This window comes from Homo sapiens, chromosome 16, assembly GCF_000001405.40.
Source record: "Homo sapiens chromosome 16, GRCh38.p14 Primary Assembly".
NCBI classification, from domain to species: domain Eukaryota; kingdom Metazoa; phylum Chordata; class Mammalia; order Primates; family Hominidae; genus Homo; species Homo sapiens.
The window spans coordinates 14858362-14875441 of record NC_000016.10 but is presented as its reverse complement, the minus strand read 5'-3'; the positions used below and the strand labels follow the sequence as shown (position 1 = coordinate 14875441).

At 45.8% G+C, this 17080-nt stretch overlaps 1 protein-coding gene across 1 annotated transcript in view; it reads right to left on the bottom strand.

Annotated features, from left to right (window-relative positions):
* The window catches only part of NOMO1 (NODAL modulator 1), a 62437-nt gene that overhangs the window by 20716 nt on the left and 24641 nt on the right, over positions 1–17080 (bottom strand). Inside the window, exons 12-20 of the mRNA NM_014287.4 lie at positions 12255–12429; positions 10716–10857; positions 10287–10418; positions 8751–8887; positions 6807–6894; positions 3758–3821; positions 3113–3208; positions 188–406; positions 20–102 (exon numbers count right to left, since the gene is read on the bottom strand). Coding sequence (NP_055102.3) covers positions 20–102; positions 188–406; positions 3113–3208; positions 3758–3821; positions 6807–6894; positions 8751–8887; positions 10287–10418; positions 10716–10857; positions 12255–12429 — 1136 coding nt within the window. The remainder of the gene's footprint in view (positions 1–19; positions 103–187; positions 407–3112; positions 3209–3757; positions 3822–6806; positions 6895–8750; positions 8888–10286; positions 10419–10715; positions 10858–12254; positions 12430–17080) is intronic.

Sequence of the window (17080 nt, the reverse complement as noted above, 5' to 3'; positions counted from 1 at the left end):
TCGCTGAGTTGACATTTACCTCCACTGACAACGGCTTCCATTGAAGGGGGATAAAAGAGCAGCTCTTTAGATGACGGTGTAACAGTGATTTTCTCTCCAGACCTAAAATAATTAATATACTTCAGTTTGGCGGGTCCTGTCCCCACAAAACAGAGGACACTGTAGGGAAACGCACAAGAGAGCTTACCGCGCCCAGTAAGAGAAATCATACGAGAAGGGGCCTTGTAACTCATCTACCATCTCCTGCACGGGAGGCTTGGTCATTCTTTCTTCGCCTTCCTCATTGCCGTTTTTCTCCCTCTCCTGCCTGCGGGCCTCGATCTCAGCCAGCTGCTGCTCCCTCCGCAGCTCCTGCACAGACTTCAGAGGGCCTAAGACCAAGGCGGGTTCACTGTCGATGGAAGACCTAGAAGAAAGACGGCCCCTAGGACATAGTTGCGTATCCTTGTGGTCAGTGGGAATTTGACCTTTCTACGAGTATGGACTTGCGAGTTACAAACTGGACATCTTATCATGACACCACAGTGGCGGAGTCTTCTGTTTTAAATAAACTAGTAGTTTCACAAAAAATAACAACTGAGCTTCGCAGTGATGGTGGCAGTATCTGGTAGATCTGGGCTGGAATGAAATACGGTTGATTTTATGGCGACTGGATATAAGCTTGTAGCTTCCATGTAGGACATGGAGTTTTCTCCACACCACCATCCTCTGTTCTCCATTCTACCTTCGCTGAGAACTGCTCTGATAGAGAACTAGGCACCAAGGATACAGCATCAACAAAACAGACCACACTTCCTACCCCTGTGGAATCCACGTTTCAATGGGAAGGGGCTGAAAATAAAGAGAAAAATAATACCAGAGGAAAAGTGCAATAAAGAAAAATAAAGCAGTGTGGGAAGACGGAGAGCCCGGAGCACTGTTTTACATTAAAGGGACAGTCAAGGCCTTTCTGATAAGGTGACGTTGAGCAAAGGTCTGAAGGAAGGGAGAGAATGCGCCACGCAGCTCTCTGGGTAAACAGTAGCTTGGGAAAAGCGATGCCAAGTGCAAAGTCCTTGGAGAGAAAGCTCACTCAGATGTTCAAGCAATGGCAACACCAGTCCAGCCTGGGGCACAGGGGCCCACGGAAGAGTCATATCCAACAGAGAGGTCCAAGGGGCAGCAGATGTCAGACTGAGGCTTCACAGGCTTGGTGCCGACCTGGAGCCACTGGAGTTTTCAGTCGAGGAATGGTATGATAAAAGAAATCGTTCGCTCCTTCATGGAAAATACACAAAGCAATGGCGGAAACAGGAAGGCCAGCTGGGAAGCTGCTGCAGTGACCCCAGAGGGGGGTCAGACCAGGGCTGAGGGCCACGTGGTAAGAAGCGAAGCCCAGCTGGGAAGCTGCTACAGTGACCCCAGAGGGGGGTCAGACCAAGGCTGAGGGCCAAGTGGTAAAAAGGGACTAGATGACGGGTGTATTTTGATTGTAAAGCCAAGGCTTTGTTGGGGAATTGGCTGGGCCTAGGGTTCAAGGGAAATAAGAATCAAGAAACAAGGAGAAAGCGGGAGCTGCCATATCTGAATCAGAAAAGACCACAGAGGGGCTCATGGAGGGCAACTGTCAGCAGTCGGGTTTTGGGTCTGCTGAGTACAAGATCCCCAGGGGGAATCCGAGTGGCTCTGTCTAGCTGGAAGATGCATTCCATACAACCTCCGGCACAAGCAAGCAACACAAACACCCTTGTGAAGTTACAAAAATGAATGTAATCAAGCTGAAAGGAGGTAATATGCAGTTACTACTGGTAAGAAGGTAGATTGCTAGTCCTATCAGTAATTCATACTTTCCAAGCAGGGAGACAGTAAATGATAGTAAAAGACAGCAACAGACCTTCGGCAAATCCACCCCCAGCTAAAAACCTGGCTCCCCATCACCAGAAACCAGGGCCAGCCCTGACATTTCTCCCGCCCTAACCCAGTGGTCACTTTAGTGCCATGTCTCATCAACTCAGTCCCTCAACGACTCTCCGACCAGTCCGTCGCTCTCCATCTCCGCAGCCACTAGTCTGGGGCCCCCATTGCCTCCCCCTGCCTCCACCACCTCCCACTCTCAGGCCTCTTCTGTCTGTTCTCCACTCGGCCAATAGGGGGACCTTTCAGGAAGAAAAATGTCATTCCTCTATGTAAAACATGTCAATTGCATCATGGGACAAAGACTATGGACCTTAACATGGCCTGGCCCCCCGCAGCCTACCTGTCCTGCATGCCCCCAAGGTCAAGCTCAAAGCACTCAGAACAGTTGTCATTTACGGTTCTGCATGTGAGTATCTGACCACTGTTCCCCCCATGAGACTGTCAATCCCATAAGTGTAGGGGCTGTGGCCTCATAAGCCCAGTGCCTAAACACTGAAGACTCTCAGTTTTTCAGTCATCATGTACTCTGCAGGGATGACGGATGGATAAACAGATGGTGGACAGAAAGATGGAAACATAGCTGGAAAGGTGACTTCAACCAGGGGCAGGAGGGAGACAGGGACTGCAATGCCCATTCTACTTGACAGAGACGGTCATGTTGCCAAAACTCGTTCATTTCTCAAGAAAATTGGGGCGTCACAGGTACCTCACCACACTGCAAAAATTCCCTGAAAGGTGACATTCACATGAACGTGACCTTCGGTGAGGGACTTGCCTTTCAAATACTTCCTCTCTCACGACCCTTCTCTTATACCAGGTGCCATCTCTATTTCCCAAGCCTTCAAGCAAAAGTCTAAAGAAAAATAGGCAATTTGAATTTGCTAAAACACTTGAAATACAATGCACAAACCCCAGAGATTTTTTTTTTCCTTAGCAAAGATGAGAAGTACAAAGAGTTCAAACAGAAATTGAAGACACTGAAACAAGCTGTCGCAACGCTCTTCCTCACCCACAGGTAATTTCTGAATCAGAAAAGGAAAGGATCAAGGCTGCTGGGAATTGACGGCAATGTCCTATAAGAGAGGGAAGGCCATTTGTATATACATCTAGAGATAAGAAATCAAAACTAATTTCCAGAGAGCCTATTAGAGACTCCCCAGGCCTCATCCACACCCTCTCCCGCCACTCTCGGCCCACTGCAGAACGCTCATCTTACTTGATAGTCACAGTGACATCCATCATTTTGTCGGTGGTGATAGTTCCAAGGACATGGTGGCGAATGGCTGTCAATGTCAAGATACTAGGTGAAGACCTACAAATCAAAGCAGAGGAAACGCTAGAACCTACTCATTCTCAGAAGATCATCAGCAATACCCTTTTTGGGCATCCTTCTTCACCCTAAATATACTACAGAAAATTGCTCTTAGTCTGGGGTAAAATAACTCTGGAGATCCAGAGAAGTATTTTAAAGAGTAAACTAATTCTCCACTCCACAACTTTATGCTTCCAATTCCCAGTGAAACCCACACACTTCTGTAAAAATACAAAAATGGCAGACTTGAACTTGACAGACGCCCATCGGTGAGGGCTGGGAGATTTGACAAAGCTTCTATTTAAGGCACTTCAAAAACACAGCCCTCTATCCTGGGGTTACAGAATTCTTGGGAAAGGGATCCTGTCTCCGGTTCCTCAGTAACTAATCCAAGTGTCTTAAAATCCTTATCTAGAAATGCTGTTGAAGGCCTAACCTTGCCTCTTTCAGAAAAAAAAACAGAAAAACTCCTTTTGTTCTCTGAAGTAAATGAAGAATCCTCCACGGAATGTATACAAACACCACAAAGCATTCAATTCCCAGGCTTACGTGTCATAGGTGTAGAACGCTTGCTCAAACCGGTGGCAGGAGCGAGGGGTCACTTTGTACACACCTACAGACAGGAAATCAAAAGTAATTTTCAGAGAATGGCATCTATTACACCGAGCAATTCCGACATCTGAAATCGAGTGGCAGCTCTTTGCATGTGAAAACTCAAACGTATCGCAGATCTGCAATAATGGGATCAGAAATACTGGGCAGGCATCGTTTTCACTGCCTATGAAGGCGTCTTACCAATAACCCGATCCATGCAATGGCGCGATCACAGGCGCATGATTTTCATTTTCCATAAGGTAACAACTCACAGTAGTTAAATCTGCACAGACCAGGTGAACGGACCCATGCACGAGAAGGAACAGAAAGTACGTTTCTACTGCAAATTGGACTGAGGATAATTTCCTACTTAAAAGATTCTATTAAGGATCCAAGAGATAACCACAGCCTCAATTTCTTCCTATAAATATTCCTAAAAAGGAGGTAAGGAGTAAGGGAAGCCCCAGAAAAGTGTGAGTCTGTGTGGGAGGACACTCCGGCTAGGGGTACATTTCATCACTTGCCAGAGGAACACAGTCAATTTCAGGAAGATACAAGGAATAACAATGTATTTCCCCCAAATCATCATTAACCAATATTTTGGCCACACTTCCTACAAAAACCTGAAATTAGCTAAAACCACCCTGCTGTTTTCATTGCACTCAACAAGCCCCAGAGTAGTTACCATCAAAAAAAAAAAAAAAATCAGGTTTCTCTGTTTGTTTTGTTTGGTCTTTCATTCAACAAATATCGACAGAGCACCTCTTCCTGGCCAGGTATTATGCTAGGTACTGGTACACAGTGGGGAATGACAGAGCAGTGGTCCCTGTCTTCATGGAGTTTACCATCCACAGAGAGGGGGAGCATTTGACAGCCACAAACATATCAATTGTGGCACATGCAAGAAGGGGATAGAAGTGAGTGCTGATAGCAAGAGTGTAGGAGGCAGGCCTAAGTGGCCCTGGAGGCCATCCTTCCCCAGGGAAGCAATACTGAACTGATGGGTAAGAAGGCCCCAGCTAGGAGGGGCAGGAGGACATGTCCACAGAGAACAGCATCTGCCTCACAGGCTGGCTCATTGTTTCCTCAACAGGCATCCTTCCTGCCTTGAGAACAAACCCTGGTTATGTTGAGGGTGGCAACGTGCTCAGCCTCGGGTAGCACATCCAACTGTCCCAGCCTCCCTTGCAGCTAGAAGTAACCATGTGGCACGGTTCTGGCCAATAATACAGACAAGTAGCTTACTGGAGGAGAGGGCGCAAGGAAATGTTTGCCTGCCCTCTCCTTGACTTTCTCCTTTAAACATAAGTTTTCTAACAACAGCCATCTTGAAAATACAAGGCAAAAAATAGAAGGGAAAGGCCTAAAGAATCACAAAGACACCACCCCTAACATCTACCAGCTGCTGAACCCATGCTGGCAGCCACGCACTGCCACACTTCTTTATTGAGCCAAATAAACTACCACTTGCCAATGGCACTGCTGTATGGATTTTGTTACATGTAGCCAAAGGCAGCTGAACTGACACCCAGAAGGACAGAGTGGCTGGAGTAGAGACAGTGGCAGACAGGGCTGGGTTACACAGGAGCTAAGATCAGGTTAAGGAGTTTGTATTTTATCTTGGGAACCAAACAGAGGAGCCACTGAATTATTCATTAGGAAAATGCAAAACAAAACCACCATGAGACACGACTTCACATCTACCAAGATGACTATAATAAAACAGACAATAACAAATGTTGGCGAAGGAGGTGAAGAAACCGGAACCCTCGTGCATTGCTGGTGGGAATATCAAACGACACAGCCTCTGTGGAAAACAATTTGACAGTTTCTTAAAAGGTTAAACATAAACTTATCACACAATGCAGCAATTCCATTCCCAGGTATCGAAACAAGAAAAATGAAAACATACGGACACAAAGACTTGTACAAGAATGTCCGTAACATTAGTCATAACAGCGTCAAACTGGAAACCACTCAAATATCCACCAACTGATAAATGGATACACAAAATATGATATAACCACACACCAGAATACTACACAGCAATGTAACAGAACAAACTACTGATATGTGCCATGACACAGATAAACTTCAAAAACATGTTAAATAAAAGAAGCCAAACAAAATACCAGCATCGTATGATAAACGTCCAAAAAAAGCCAATCCATGGGGACAGAAAATAGATCAGTGGCTGGCCATGGCTAGAAACAGGGATTAACTGTCAACGGGCACAGAGGATCTTACATTGTGGGTGATGAACAAATCTAAAACTGGATTCTGGCCATGGTTGTGCAACTTGATAAATTTACTACAAATCATTTTATTGTACATCTTAAATAGGTGAGTTTTATGATATGCAAATTCTGCCTCCAAAAAAAGCCATTATAAAAGAGAGAGAAGGTTGGGTGCAGCAGCTCACACCTGTAATCCCAGCACTTTGGGAGGCTGAGGCGGGCGGATCACTTTAGGTCAGGAGTTTGAGACCAGCCTGGACAATGTGGTGAAACCCATCCCTACTAAAAATACAAAAATTAGCCGGATGTGGTGGTGGGCACCTGTAATCCCAGCTACTCGAGAGGCTGAGGCAGGGGAATCGCTTGAACCCAGGAGGCGGAGGCTGCAGTGAGCCAAGATCAAGCCACTACACTCCAGCCTGGGTGACAGAGCAAGACTCCATCTCAAAAAAAAAAAAGAGAAAAAAAAATGAGAAAGAGCGAGAAGCCACTGAAAGATTTTAAGCAAAGTGGGAAATGATTCAAATTTTAAAACAGCTCTATAAAGAGAGGCCATTGGCCAATGGTATATTTTTGGAGGTGAAAGGGCCCAGTGGTGTCTACCCAACTCAAACCCAAGACAGACAGAAAAACAAGAGCAGGTTGAACACACAGAAATTGAAAGCTTGATGCAAACAGAACTAAGGTAGAAAAAAATGCCTTCAAAACCATCCTCTGGTGCCTTTCCATTTTTCTAATTCATGGCACATCAATCCTTCCAAACTTACCAGGCTTGGACAGGCAGAATCGGTTGACTCCTTTGGAGAGGTTATAAATCCCCACATTCTCACGCCCATTTCCATCCTGATAAAATTCCTAAGGAAGCAAAGCCAATACAATGACTACTAAGAGAGATGGAGACACCAAGATGATTAATAATATTTCTCTTTCCAAACCAGTCATCTGTTTTGCCCATTAATCATTGGAGCAGTTGGGTGCCACAGGAAAATTAAAAACCTCCCAAAACTTCCAACAAAAGTGTGCTATTTTTCATTCAATCAACTAATATTTATTGAGCACCTGCTATGTGACAGACACAAGGCTGGGCCTTGGGAGTCATGACCATGGCTCCTGCTCTCACAGGGCTTATGTTCTAATACAGGAAGACAAAATCAACGCATCAACAAATAAATTAGTGATCTCAACTGGTCAGTAACGAAGCTGTGAAAATAAACAGGAAAGCAAGAGAAGAACAATCCCCACCGAGGGGTCTTTAGCTCGCTGGTCCCAGGGCACATCTCTCCTGAACAATAGGGCTGCACCTGAATGAGGAGGAAAAACCAACAACACGTGTTTCTGGAGAAGACACAGCACTCCAGGCAGAGGGGAGAGTATGTGCAAAGGCCCCGAGGAGGGAGTGAGCTTGGTGTGGGACTGCAGAGGACCACTGTGGCTGGGGCCCGGCGAGTGAGGGGACAGTGGGAGGAGATAAAGAAGGGGTTAAGGAAGTGTCAAAAAAAAAAAAAAAAGGATCTTATTACAAGAGAGCTGGAAATCCACTCCACTGCTGGAAGGGAAAGGTTTCCTAAATATCTATCACTTATTATGAACCGGATATTAATCGATCTCCTATAACAAATCGACCTGTCGAGTTTTTGTAATTAAGCAGTTAGGGGAGTAAGTTGGCACATGAAACACCAGTTCCAATTCTTCTAGTTTCTCTACAGAGAAACTAAGACCTGACGATGACATCTGCCGCCGCTCGACATCAAAACATTATAGAAAATTCACGAAGGGATCTACGGAGGTGCTCCTGAAACCCATTTCACACTGCCTTTCAGGCCACAGAGACCACAGTCAACAAGAAGCTAAGATCCTGTTTACAGCTTCTTCCCCTGCACTGGAACAAATACACCAGAGAAGGTGGGGCACAATGGCTCACACCTGTAATCCTAGCACTCTGCGAGGCCAACGCGGGTGGATCCCCTGAGGTCAGGAGTTTTAAGACCAGTCTGGCCAACATGGTGGAACTCTGTCTCTAACAAAAATACAAAAAAAAAAGAAAAAAATTAGCTGGGCATGGCGGCACGCACCTCTAGTCCCAGCTACTCGGGGGGCTGAAGCAGGAGAATCGCTTGAACTCGGGAGGCGGAGGTTTCAGTGAGCCGAGATTGCACCACTGCACTCCAGCCTGGGCAACAGAGCAAGACTCCATCTCAAAAAAAAAAAAAAAAAAAAAAAAAAAAATATATATATATATATATATATATATATCAGAGAAACTCACTTGGCAGTACAGAGCGGTGTACACCAAGGACACTTTGATACCTAAGAGGGTTCACTTAAGCCCTGCCATAACCCTGAGAAGTAGGTATTAAGATCTCAATTTTCGGTGAAAACTGAGGCTGAGAAGCAGTAAACGAATTTACCCAAAGCTATTATTACTAATAATATAAAGCCAGTGTGCTCTGCACTGTACCAAAGGTCACCCCGAATCACCAGTCAGATTTAGTGTAGGGCCAGGACAAGGAAACCTCCTAAATACAGGGGTCCTTCCACTGAGAGAGTATAAATGCTTCCTGATTATGCGTTGCGTAACAGGTGGGCGAGTGGAGAGGCAGAAAAGGAAATCTAACTTGCCTACGTTTACAATATTCCTGGGATGTTAGTCTTTCTTGACATCCACAAGGCGAGCGCTTTTCCAAATAAGAGACTCAATAAGCCGTACATACCAGAGTGATGGCGTGAGACAGGGAACATCTCAGCATGTAGCCCGTCTGCCTGAACTCAACTGCAGACATGTCATCCTCCAGCACTTCCACCTCCAGGCTCTTGTTCTTCCAGCACCAATCCTCATGCATGATGCTTACTGCAAAAGCAAACACCAAAAACGGATACATGGGCGTGGAGCACACCACCTCCCTCCACGCCACCAGAAACAATGATCATGAATTAATCAATTTTAAAAAGCAGGTGTGTATGTAGACATAAAGATAGAAATATACACATACATATATTTATAACTAGCAGTATTTGGAATAAATTACTGCTAAAGAAAACCTGGAGTCGAGCGTGGTGGCTCATGCCTATAATCCCAGCACTCTGGGAGGCCGACGCACTTGGATGGCTTGAAGCCAGGAGTTCAAGACCAGTCTGACCAACATAGCAAAACCCCATCTCTACTAAAAATACAAAAGTTATCCAGGCATGGTGGTGCATGCCTGTAATCCCAGCTACTCGGGAAGCTGAGGCAAGAGAATCTCCTGCACCCAGAAGGCGGAGAGGTTGCAGTGAGCCAAGGTCGCGCCACCACACTCCGGCCTGGGTGACAGAGCGAGGCTAAATTTCAAAAAAAAAAGAAAGAAAAACTGGAACCAATTTCCATTACATCAAGAAAGAAATCTAATGGGGCCTGTAAGATCAGGCTGCAAGTAAGGTATTCAGGGATCCACAAACTTTTTCTGTAACTCTTTTCAGTTTTGCAGGCCACATGCTTTGTCAGCCTCAACCACTCGACTTGGCCACTGTTACACACGAGCAGCCATAGAGAATCCATAAACAAATGGGCAAGGCTGTATTCTAAGGAAACTACGCTTATAAAAGGCAGTTTTTGTAGTCTGCCAAGCCCTGCCATAACAGAAAATATTAATATAATTCCAGAAAAAGCAGTCTGTTTTATGAGCTATCCACTGCCAGCAGCCCCAAGCTGATTTCTGAAAAAGCAGAAATACAGGCAAGAAGTGGCTTCTTAAGAAGGGCAAGGAAAAGGGAAGTAACATTTGTGGGCACCAGCTACTTAGCTGGCTCTCTGCACAACGGGCTTTATAAACTTTACTTCTTTTAGTCTTATATTCTGCAGAAAGGTTCTATTACGTCTATTTTACAGATGGGAAAACTGAGTTTCAGGGAGGTCAAGTACCTTGCCATGGCCAGTACTCAGCACCAGTACTGCTAAGTTAGTAGAACACATCAGTGGAACTATTTCACACTCCTTTCTCTGGGCTTTAGAAATAAAATGCCATACGTCGGGGCACCCTCCCTTAACAGAAGCCGCCAGTGGGCTGTGCAGACAAGCTGGCGGTCAGCTCAGGGCCTGGACTCCTCCATGCTTGTCCAACGCTAAATAATGCAGTCAAGGTCACGAGGCAAAGACGACTTAAAACAAGGAAAGGTACATGGTCGTGATACAATTTGAGACCTGAGTTTTAGAAAGTTTACAAAGACAAGAAGTGTGTGAGGGCCACAGGATGTTGCATTCCAATTCTTACTTTTGTATTTTCCAGGGAGCACGTTGTCAAAGGTGAAAGTCATGGCGTTGACCTTGCCGGAGAGCTGGAGGCTCCGCTTCTCACCCTGGCGGCTCAGGGACTGTAGAGTCACCAGCAAGTCACCACAGGTGTCTGCAGGGAAAAGAAGGGAGGGCTCCATGTGACCCCTTATAAGGCTTCAGCACAGGTTTGAATCCTAACCCTATGTAATAGCTTCTTGCTACTGCTGAGCTCCTAAGAGGCAGTGGCCGGAGGCAGACGGAGTGCTTCTTTCAAGCTAACATGCACCCACTTGACTCCAAGAAGCCTCCCTCGCACGCAGGTGATCAGTAGCAAACAACAAAGGCAAAAGGAAAAGTTTCCCAAATCCCACTCCTACCGGCTGACTTCTTTGAAACTATGTGTTCTTACTTTCCAGTGATATCTTACCCAAACAAGAGACTTTCCCAGAAACTGATGCCAAGAACTGTACAAAGGCCACATCCATCATGGGCCTGTTGGTCACAGTAAGAGGAAATGTCTGGGGTTTCAACGTCAGCCCTGCTCTGGTTTCTGCCTCAGGAACCATCACCTGTGGAAACGTGGATGGAACGTTAGAGGCTGCATTCGGGGAGATCTTCCCCCTGACCTACAGGGCGCTAGAACATTCATCTGGGACCAAGGCTAAAGAGATTTTGAAGGCCAAAGGTTCGTTTCCAGGCCGATTTTACAATCACAACAAATCCACGAATAACTTGTGTGAAGTAAGCACAGTTCTACCCAGATGAAAAATTAGCCTCAACAGACCGATGTGTATGAACAAAAGTCTATCTGGCCTAATTCCCCACAGGCCCGCAATGCGGACACGCCTCACTTACATACTAGAAACCATACTACATCCCAGTCACTTTTCCCGGCTTCGGATCACTTGTAGCATAAGCTCTGAACCTGTTAACACTATGTGGATGACACTTTGGTGGAATTAAGTCATTTTCTTCCTCCTATTGTTCTGCGTGCCTTTCATGGGCTAAGAAGAGGAACAGGTGAAGGTAGCAGCGGTCAACTCTTTCATCCCTAGTAAAGACGACACTGCCCTTCCTTGGAGAAGTCCATCATGCTTCCGAAAGGGCTTCCAAAGACTTGTCAATGTGGACATCTTCGCAAGAAGCCAGCTACCATCTAATAAAGGCAGCTGTCAACCCACACACCACGCTGTTCTGTGGAAGCAGGGAGAACGCAATCTCCTACCCTGTTTCCCACAGAGGGAGGGACCCCACTTTGCCCTAGAGGACAGCAGAGTCTAACAGGGAACCTTCTCGGCCCTCTCCCTTTGTGTTATTTGCTCTTCCACAGGGAGGAAGGGCAGCTGCTGATTTGATGGGTGACAGCCCACGGAAACAGTCTCTCCCCAAGGGCAGGGCCACTGCACTGAAAGGCATGGTGGGCTGACCTCTGCTCTGTCCTGTCTCTTGCTTGCTTGGGCCAGCTGTGGCTTGGGCCTTCACCATGGTGATGAGACCACAGGCCAGACCGTCTCCCCGTTCTCGGCCTGCTTGAATGGATAAGTCGCGTGGTCCCTGCCTAGCCATCTTGAAGTCAAGGCAAAGCAGGAAATGGGAAGCTCCATTTTGGCCTGGGGTCCCAGAAGCCACGCACTATGGCCATTTTTGAGCGGCCATTAGTAGAGTTCATTTTTGGTGTCCTCTTGGACTCATCGACATTCTACAGCAGCCAGAAGCCTGAAGGTAGAGGAGTGACTGGCAGCCTGATACTAATAAACATCAAGACTGGAAAAAAGAGAGGCAGATGGCATTATTTTTTAGCTGGATGCCTATCTGACTCTCCTCTACTGGTGCAGGATTGTAAAGACTTAGAAACAAGAAGTTGGAAACTGGAATGCTCCTTCTCTAACCCCATTCGACCTAATAACCCTTCTAAAAATCACTGCTTTTTCTCAAAACATTTTAAATTTAAAACAATGCATCGCACCTGCACTTTGTAAGTCCCTGGTTTTGCTTTAAAACAAAATGATCCATGAGCATCTGTCTCCACGGTGACCAAAGACTTGTCCTTGTCTTGAGATGACAGGACAACTTTGTATTTATTCATCTGCTTGACGGTGTCGGGGAAGCGAATGATTGATATCTGACCACAGACACTGAACCTGCAAAGAGAAGACCATTCATTCCAGCACGAGGACTCAATTATAACAGGAAAGGCTCTTATAGACCAAAAAAGATGCAGCCCTCTCCCAGCCCTTGTTCCTGAGAATAGTCTAATCTTAATGAAGAGACAGAATGCAGTCCAGATGATTCTGGTTTTAAAAAGCAACCTTCATTCTGGTTTTAAAAAGCAACCTTCAGAAGCAAGACTGGGCATCTTTCTACAGAACAGGGGCCCGTAGTGGGGCTGTTTGTGTGTTCCGGGTGACATCTGGCAATCCCCCACTGCAGAGGCAATTTTAAGAAAATCTGCAGATAATAAAAACGTTTCAGGTAATTGGATCGTTGACAGCGGAGCGGCCTTGGACTGAGAATGTGGGCTAGCCCTTAAAAGCAAGAGCTCTAAGCTGCCTAAGAAACTGTGGCATTACCAGGCCATCAAATAAGTCAGGATTATCAAAGACGTCTTCCTTGCTTGTGATTATATATAATACATGGATGAAAGCAAACAGGGAGATTGGAACAGAAAAGGTAATTAAGTTAAAAAATGCAAAGCTAAAATTGAACTCCTTGGGAGGTAGGAGCCACAAATGTAACTTATAACTGAAAAGCCCTATTAAGGTAATGCTTCAGATTTGAGATTCTAAATAAGGAGTAAGGTGTTGCAAGGCATCCCTCGAATAACACACGAGAGGCCCCCCTACAACGACCATCATCCTTGGAGTGCTGGTCTTCATTTCTGAAGCAGCTGGTGTGTTAAAGTGTAATAGTACATCCTAGCTGGGGGTCACAGTTGTCTTTTCAACTGTTCATTTTAAAGAATCTTCAAGAATCATTTTAGATAAAAATTAGTTACTTCTGACATAAAGATAATCAAGAATGTTGGATTCTGACAATTAGGGGTACATTAAATGTTGGAACCACCACTCCGCCTCAAATAAAAAAAACAGTGGAAAACACAAGGAAATGGTGGAAGATTGTGTATGTGAAATCTAGGAATCATGAAAAACACAGCCATTTCTTCAGAGTGAAGGGACTGCCCAGCCATATGAGCTCACTATCTCCAGCATGGGTCAGCAAACTACCACCCAAGGACCCCCCTCCCGTTTGTGTATGAACTGCAAGCCGAGAAAAAGAATTTTACACTCTTAAGTGGTTAAAGTTAAAAAAAAAAAAATCAAAAGAAAGATAATATTTCACATGTAAAAATTACATGAAATGCAAACTGTGGTGTCCAAAAATGTAGTTGTGTTGCGCTCTGCCCATTCATTTACAAATTGTCTATCTCAGCTGTTGTCCTAGAGACCGTATGGCTCACGCAGCCTAAAATAGTTATTCTCTGGCTCTCCACAGAGAAAGTGTCCCAGTCCCTGACCTAGCATATGCATTTTGGTTCTCACATTCCCCTACTGTGAACTTTCAGAATAAAAGGATGGGAAGCGAACACTGACACAATCATTCCCAAGGACCTGTCATATTCTCTTGATTTGTGTACCTGTCAGAGGACACATCACCTTGTCTATTTCCTATCAAATCTCTTTGCCTCCTTAAGTTGTAAATATTTGAACCATAAGATCTGTTTTAGCCCACATTCTTATTAAAAAGAAGTGCCTATTTTCCCTAAACCTCAAATCTATACTGGCTTAGTCTGGAAAAATAAACCAAAAGGGTGGTAGAAAAAGGTTCCGTTATACTGAAGCCCTTAAAAATTGATTTGTATCAATAAATTCTTTCAACAGGGTTTAAATACATATATGGACAGAAACAGGTAATATTGGTGGATATTGAGAGAAATCTATTTTCACAGTCATTTGGACAGAAGCCAAAGAGTTTGTTTTTACAATAAATTGAGTAATTTTTTTATTTTACTTTAAAGGAAGACTAGGCACCATGGCTCAGCCTGTAATCCCAGCACTTTGGGAAGCCGAGGCGGGTGGGTCACTTGAGGTCAGGAGTTCGAGACCAGCCTAGCCAACACGGCAAAACCACATCTCTACTAAAAAATATAAAAATTAGCCTGTAATCCCAGCTACTCAGGAGGCTGGGGCAGGAGAATCACTTGAACCCGAGAGGCGGAGGCTGCAGTGAGCCGAGATGGCGCCACTGTACTCCAGCCTGGGCAACGGAGTAAGACCCTGTCTCAAAAAAAAAATAAAAAGGAAAAGAAATAGTAAGAAGTATCAGTGTGCTAAAAAGGCAAATGTACTACGTCGGCCAATTAAAAAACAGAGATTTTTCCAAAAATGTTCAACAAATGCTATTTTTCTTTCTTTGACCCAAATACTCTACTTTAAAGGAGAAAATAAATATATTTCCTCCATCTCCGTGAACAGCGCCGCCTCCATCTACCCAGTGGCTCAAATAAGAAACCTGTAACCTCAACAGCACAGGCCTGTGGGTGTGTTCTCCATGTGACCTACCAAATCCATCTACTCCTCGCTCCCTCGCCTGCCAGCCGCCTGGGCCCGGCCACTACCATATCTCCTCCAGACAACCACCACTGCCTCATATCTGGCCCCTCCATTCACACCATGGCTTTCCTCCAATCCATTCTCCACACAGCAGCCAGGAAGAAAAACAAACTTTTTAAAGTACCATGATCCCTATCACTCCCTTGCCAACTGATAACTCTTTTTTTTTTTTTTTTGAGACGGAATCTCACCCTGTCGCCCAGGCTGGAGTGCAATGGTGCAATCTCAGCTCACTGCAACCCCTGCCTCCCGGGTTCAAGCGATTCTCCTGCCTCAGCCTCCTGAGTTGCTGGGATTATAGGCGCGCATCACCATGCCCCGCCAACCTTTTGTATCTTTAGTACAGACCGGGTTTCACCATGCGGCCAGGCTGGGCTTGAACTCCTGACCTCATGATCCGCCCACCTCAGCCTCCCAAAGTGCTGAGATCATAGGCGTGAGCCACCGTGCCCGGCCAACCAACAGACAACTCCTAACGGGTTTCCACTGCATTAGGGAGCAAAGCCCAATCCCAAAGCAAGGCTACAAGGCCCCAGAGCTCCCTGACCTCACCCACCTCCTCCAGCTGCGCAGACTGCCTTTCAGGTCCTTCCTATCCTATGCAGGCCTCTGAGCATGTTGCTTCTCTACTAGGGAAGATCTTTCTTTAGCTAACTTTTAGTCTTTACTAAGGTCTCTGCAACCCAGAGAGCCTTGCAGAGCTCCCACTCTAAATTAGCTCTTCTTGCAGCACCCTGATCTCTTCTCTGCACAACACTTGCCATAATTTAGCAGCATAAATGTATTTGTCTTGTCTTTTTTTAAAATCTTGTTATTTTATTTTTTAATTTTTATCTCTTTATTTATTTATTTTTAGACCAGGTTATGAAACTAGCTAATTTTTGCATTTTTGGTAGAGATGGTGTTTTGCCAAGTTGCCCAGGCTGGTCTCAAACTCCTGGGCTCAATCGATCCGCCCACCTCTGCCTCCCAAAGTGCTGGGATGGATTACAGGTGTGAGGCATTAAGCCTGGCCACAGATGTATTTGTCTTCAGTCTGTCTCCCTGGTAGGGTGAAAGCCCCATCTCTGGAACACTAGTTTGATTAATTATTAGGTATGAAGCATTTTTCAGTGCCTCATCTAGAGTAATTGCACAAAGTGTTTATGGAAGGTGGGAAAGACTTAAATCCAAGAATTACTTTCTGAGGGTAATTTGCTTCCCTGTCTTCCATTCACCACTGGACTCCTTGACCTCGACCTCCATCTGTCTACAGAAAAGAGTCACTGTGGCCTCCTCAGTGATCAAGCCAGGGGACTGTGTTCACCAGGGCCCAGCTCCCTGCACCTCCCTGTTGGGCACTACCTCCTACCCCAAACTTACTTTCTTAGCTCCTGTGACCTCATGCTCCCTAGGTCCCCCCTGGGCCACCTGGCACTCTGTTTTTGGCCTACTGTTCTTCTAATTCTACTTGCACATACATATTTGAGGTCCTGGCTGCCACCTGCGGCCAAATCTTCAGGATTTACCATCCATCCAAGTACCTATTGAAGAGCTCCACCCAGTGGTCCTACAGACCAATGTGGCCAAATCTGAACCCTCATCACCTAACTGGCTTCTCTTTCTGTCCCCAGCCATCACACCTCTCAAGCTGGGCACCCTAAATATCTCACCAGTCTGTCCCTGACTTCCCTACAAGGCAAGCCCTTGTCGTCTCTGCTTTCAGAGCTCCTGTGCCCAAGTCCTGTCCCCTTCAAAGCCACTCTACTCCATGCCATTGTTTTCAGAATGCCCTATTGAAAACAATGATCAAAGCTTGTTATATTAATGCTCAAAACCACTCATGGCCCGTTGGCCCCAGTGGGAGAAAGCCCCTACGCCCCGGTGGGGTGTGAGGAGGTGCTATGGGGTTGGCCTCATCATCACCTTCACCTGCCAGTATATTCTGCTTCAGTAGCACCCAGCTTTACACCCGCAGCCACCTCATGCTGCTGTGAGACTGCCTGACTTTGCTCATGCCGCGCTTCTCCCAAGCAGACCCTGCAGTCTCCTTCTAAGCTACTGTTTTGTGAGCACCTGTTATGTCTAAAGCTGTTCTGCAGGTTACATACAGGTGGATCTGGTATCTGACTCCAAAGCCCAAGTTCTTGGCACTACACAATCTTGCTTCAGATGATGGTAAAACCACATGAATTCAACCACA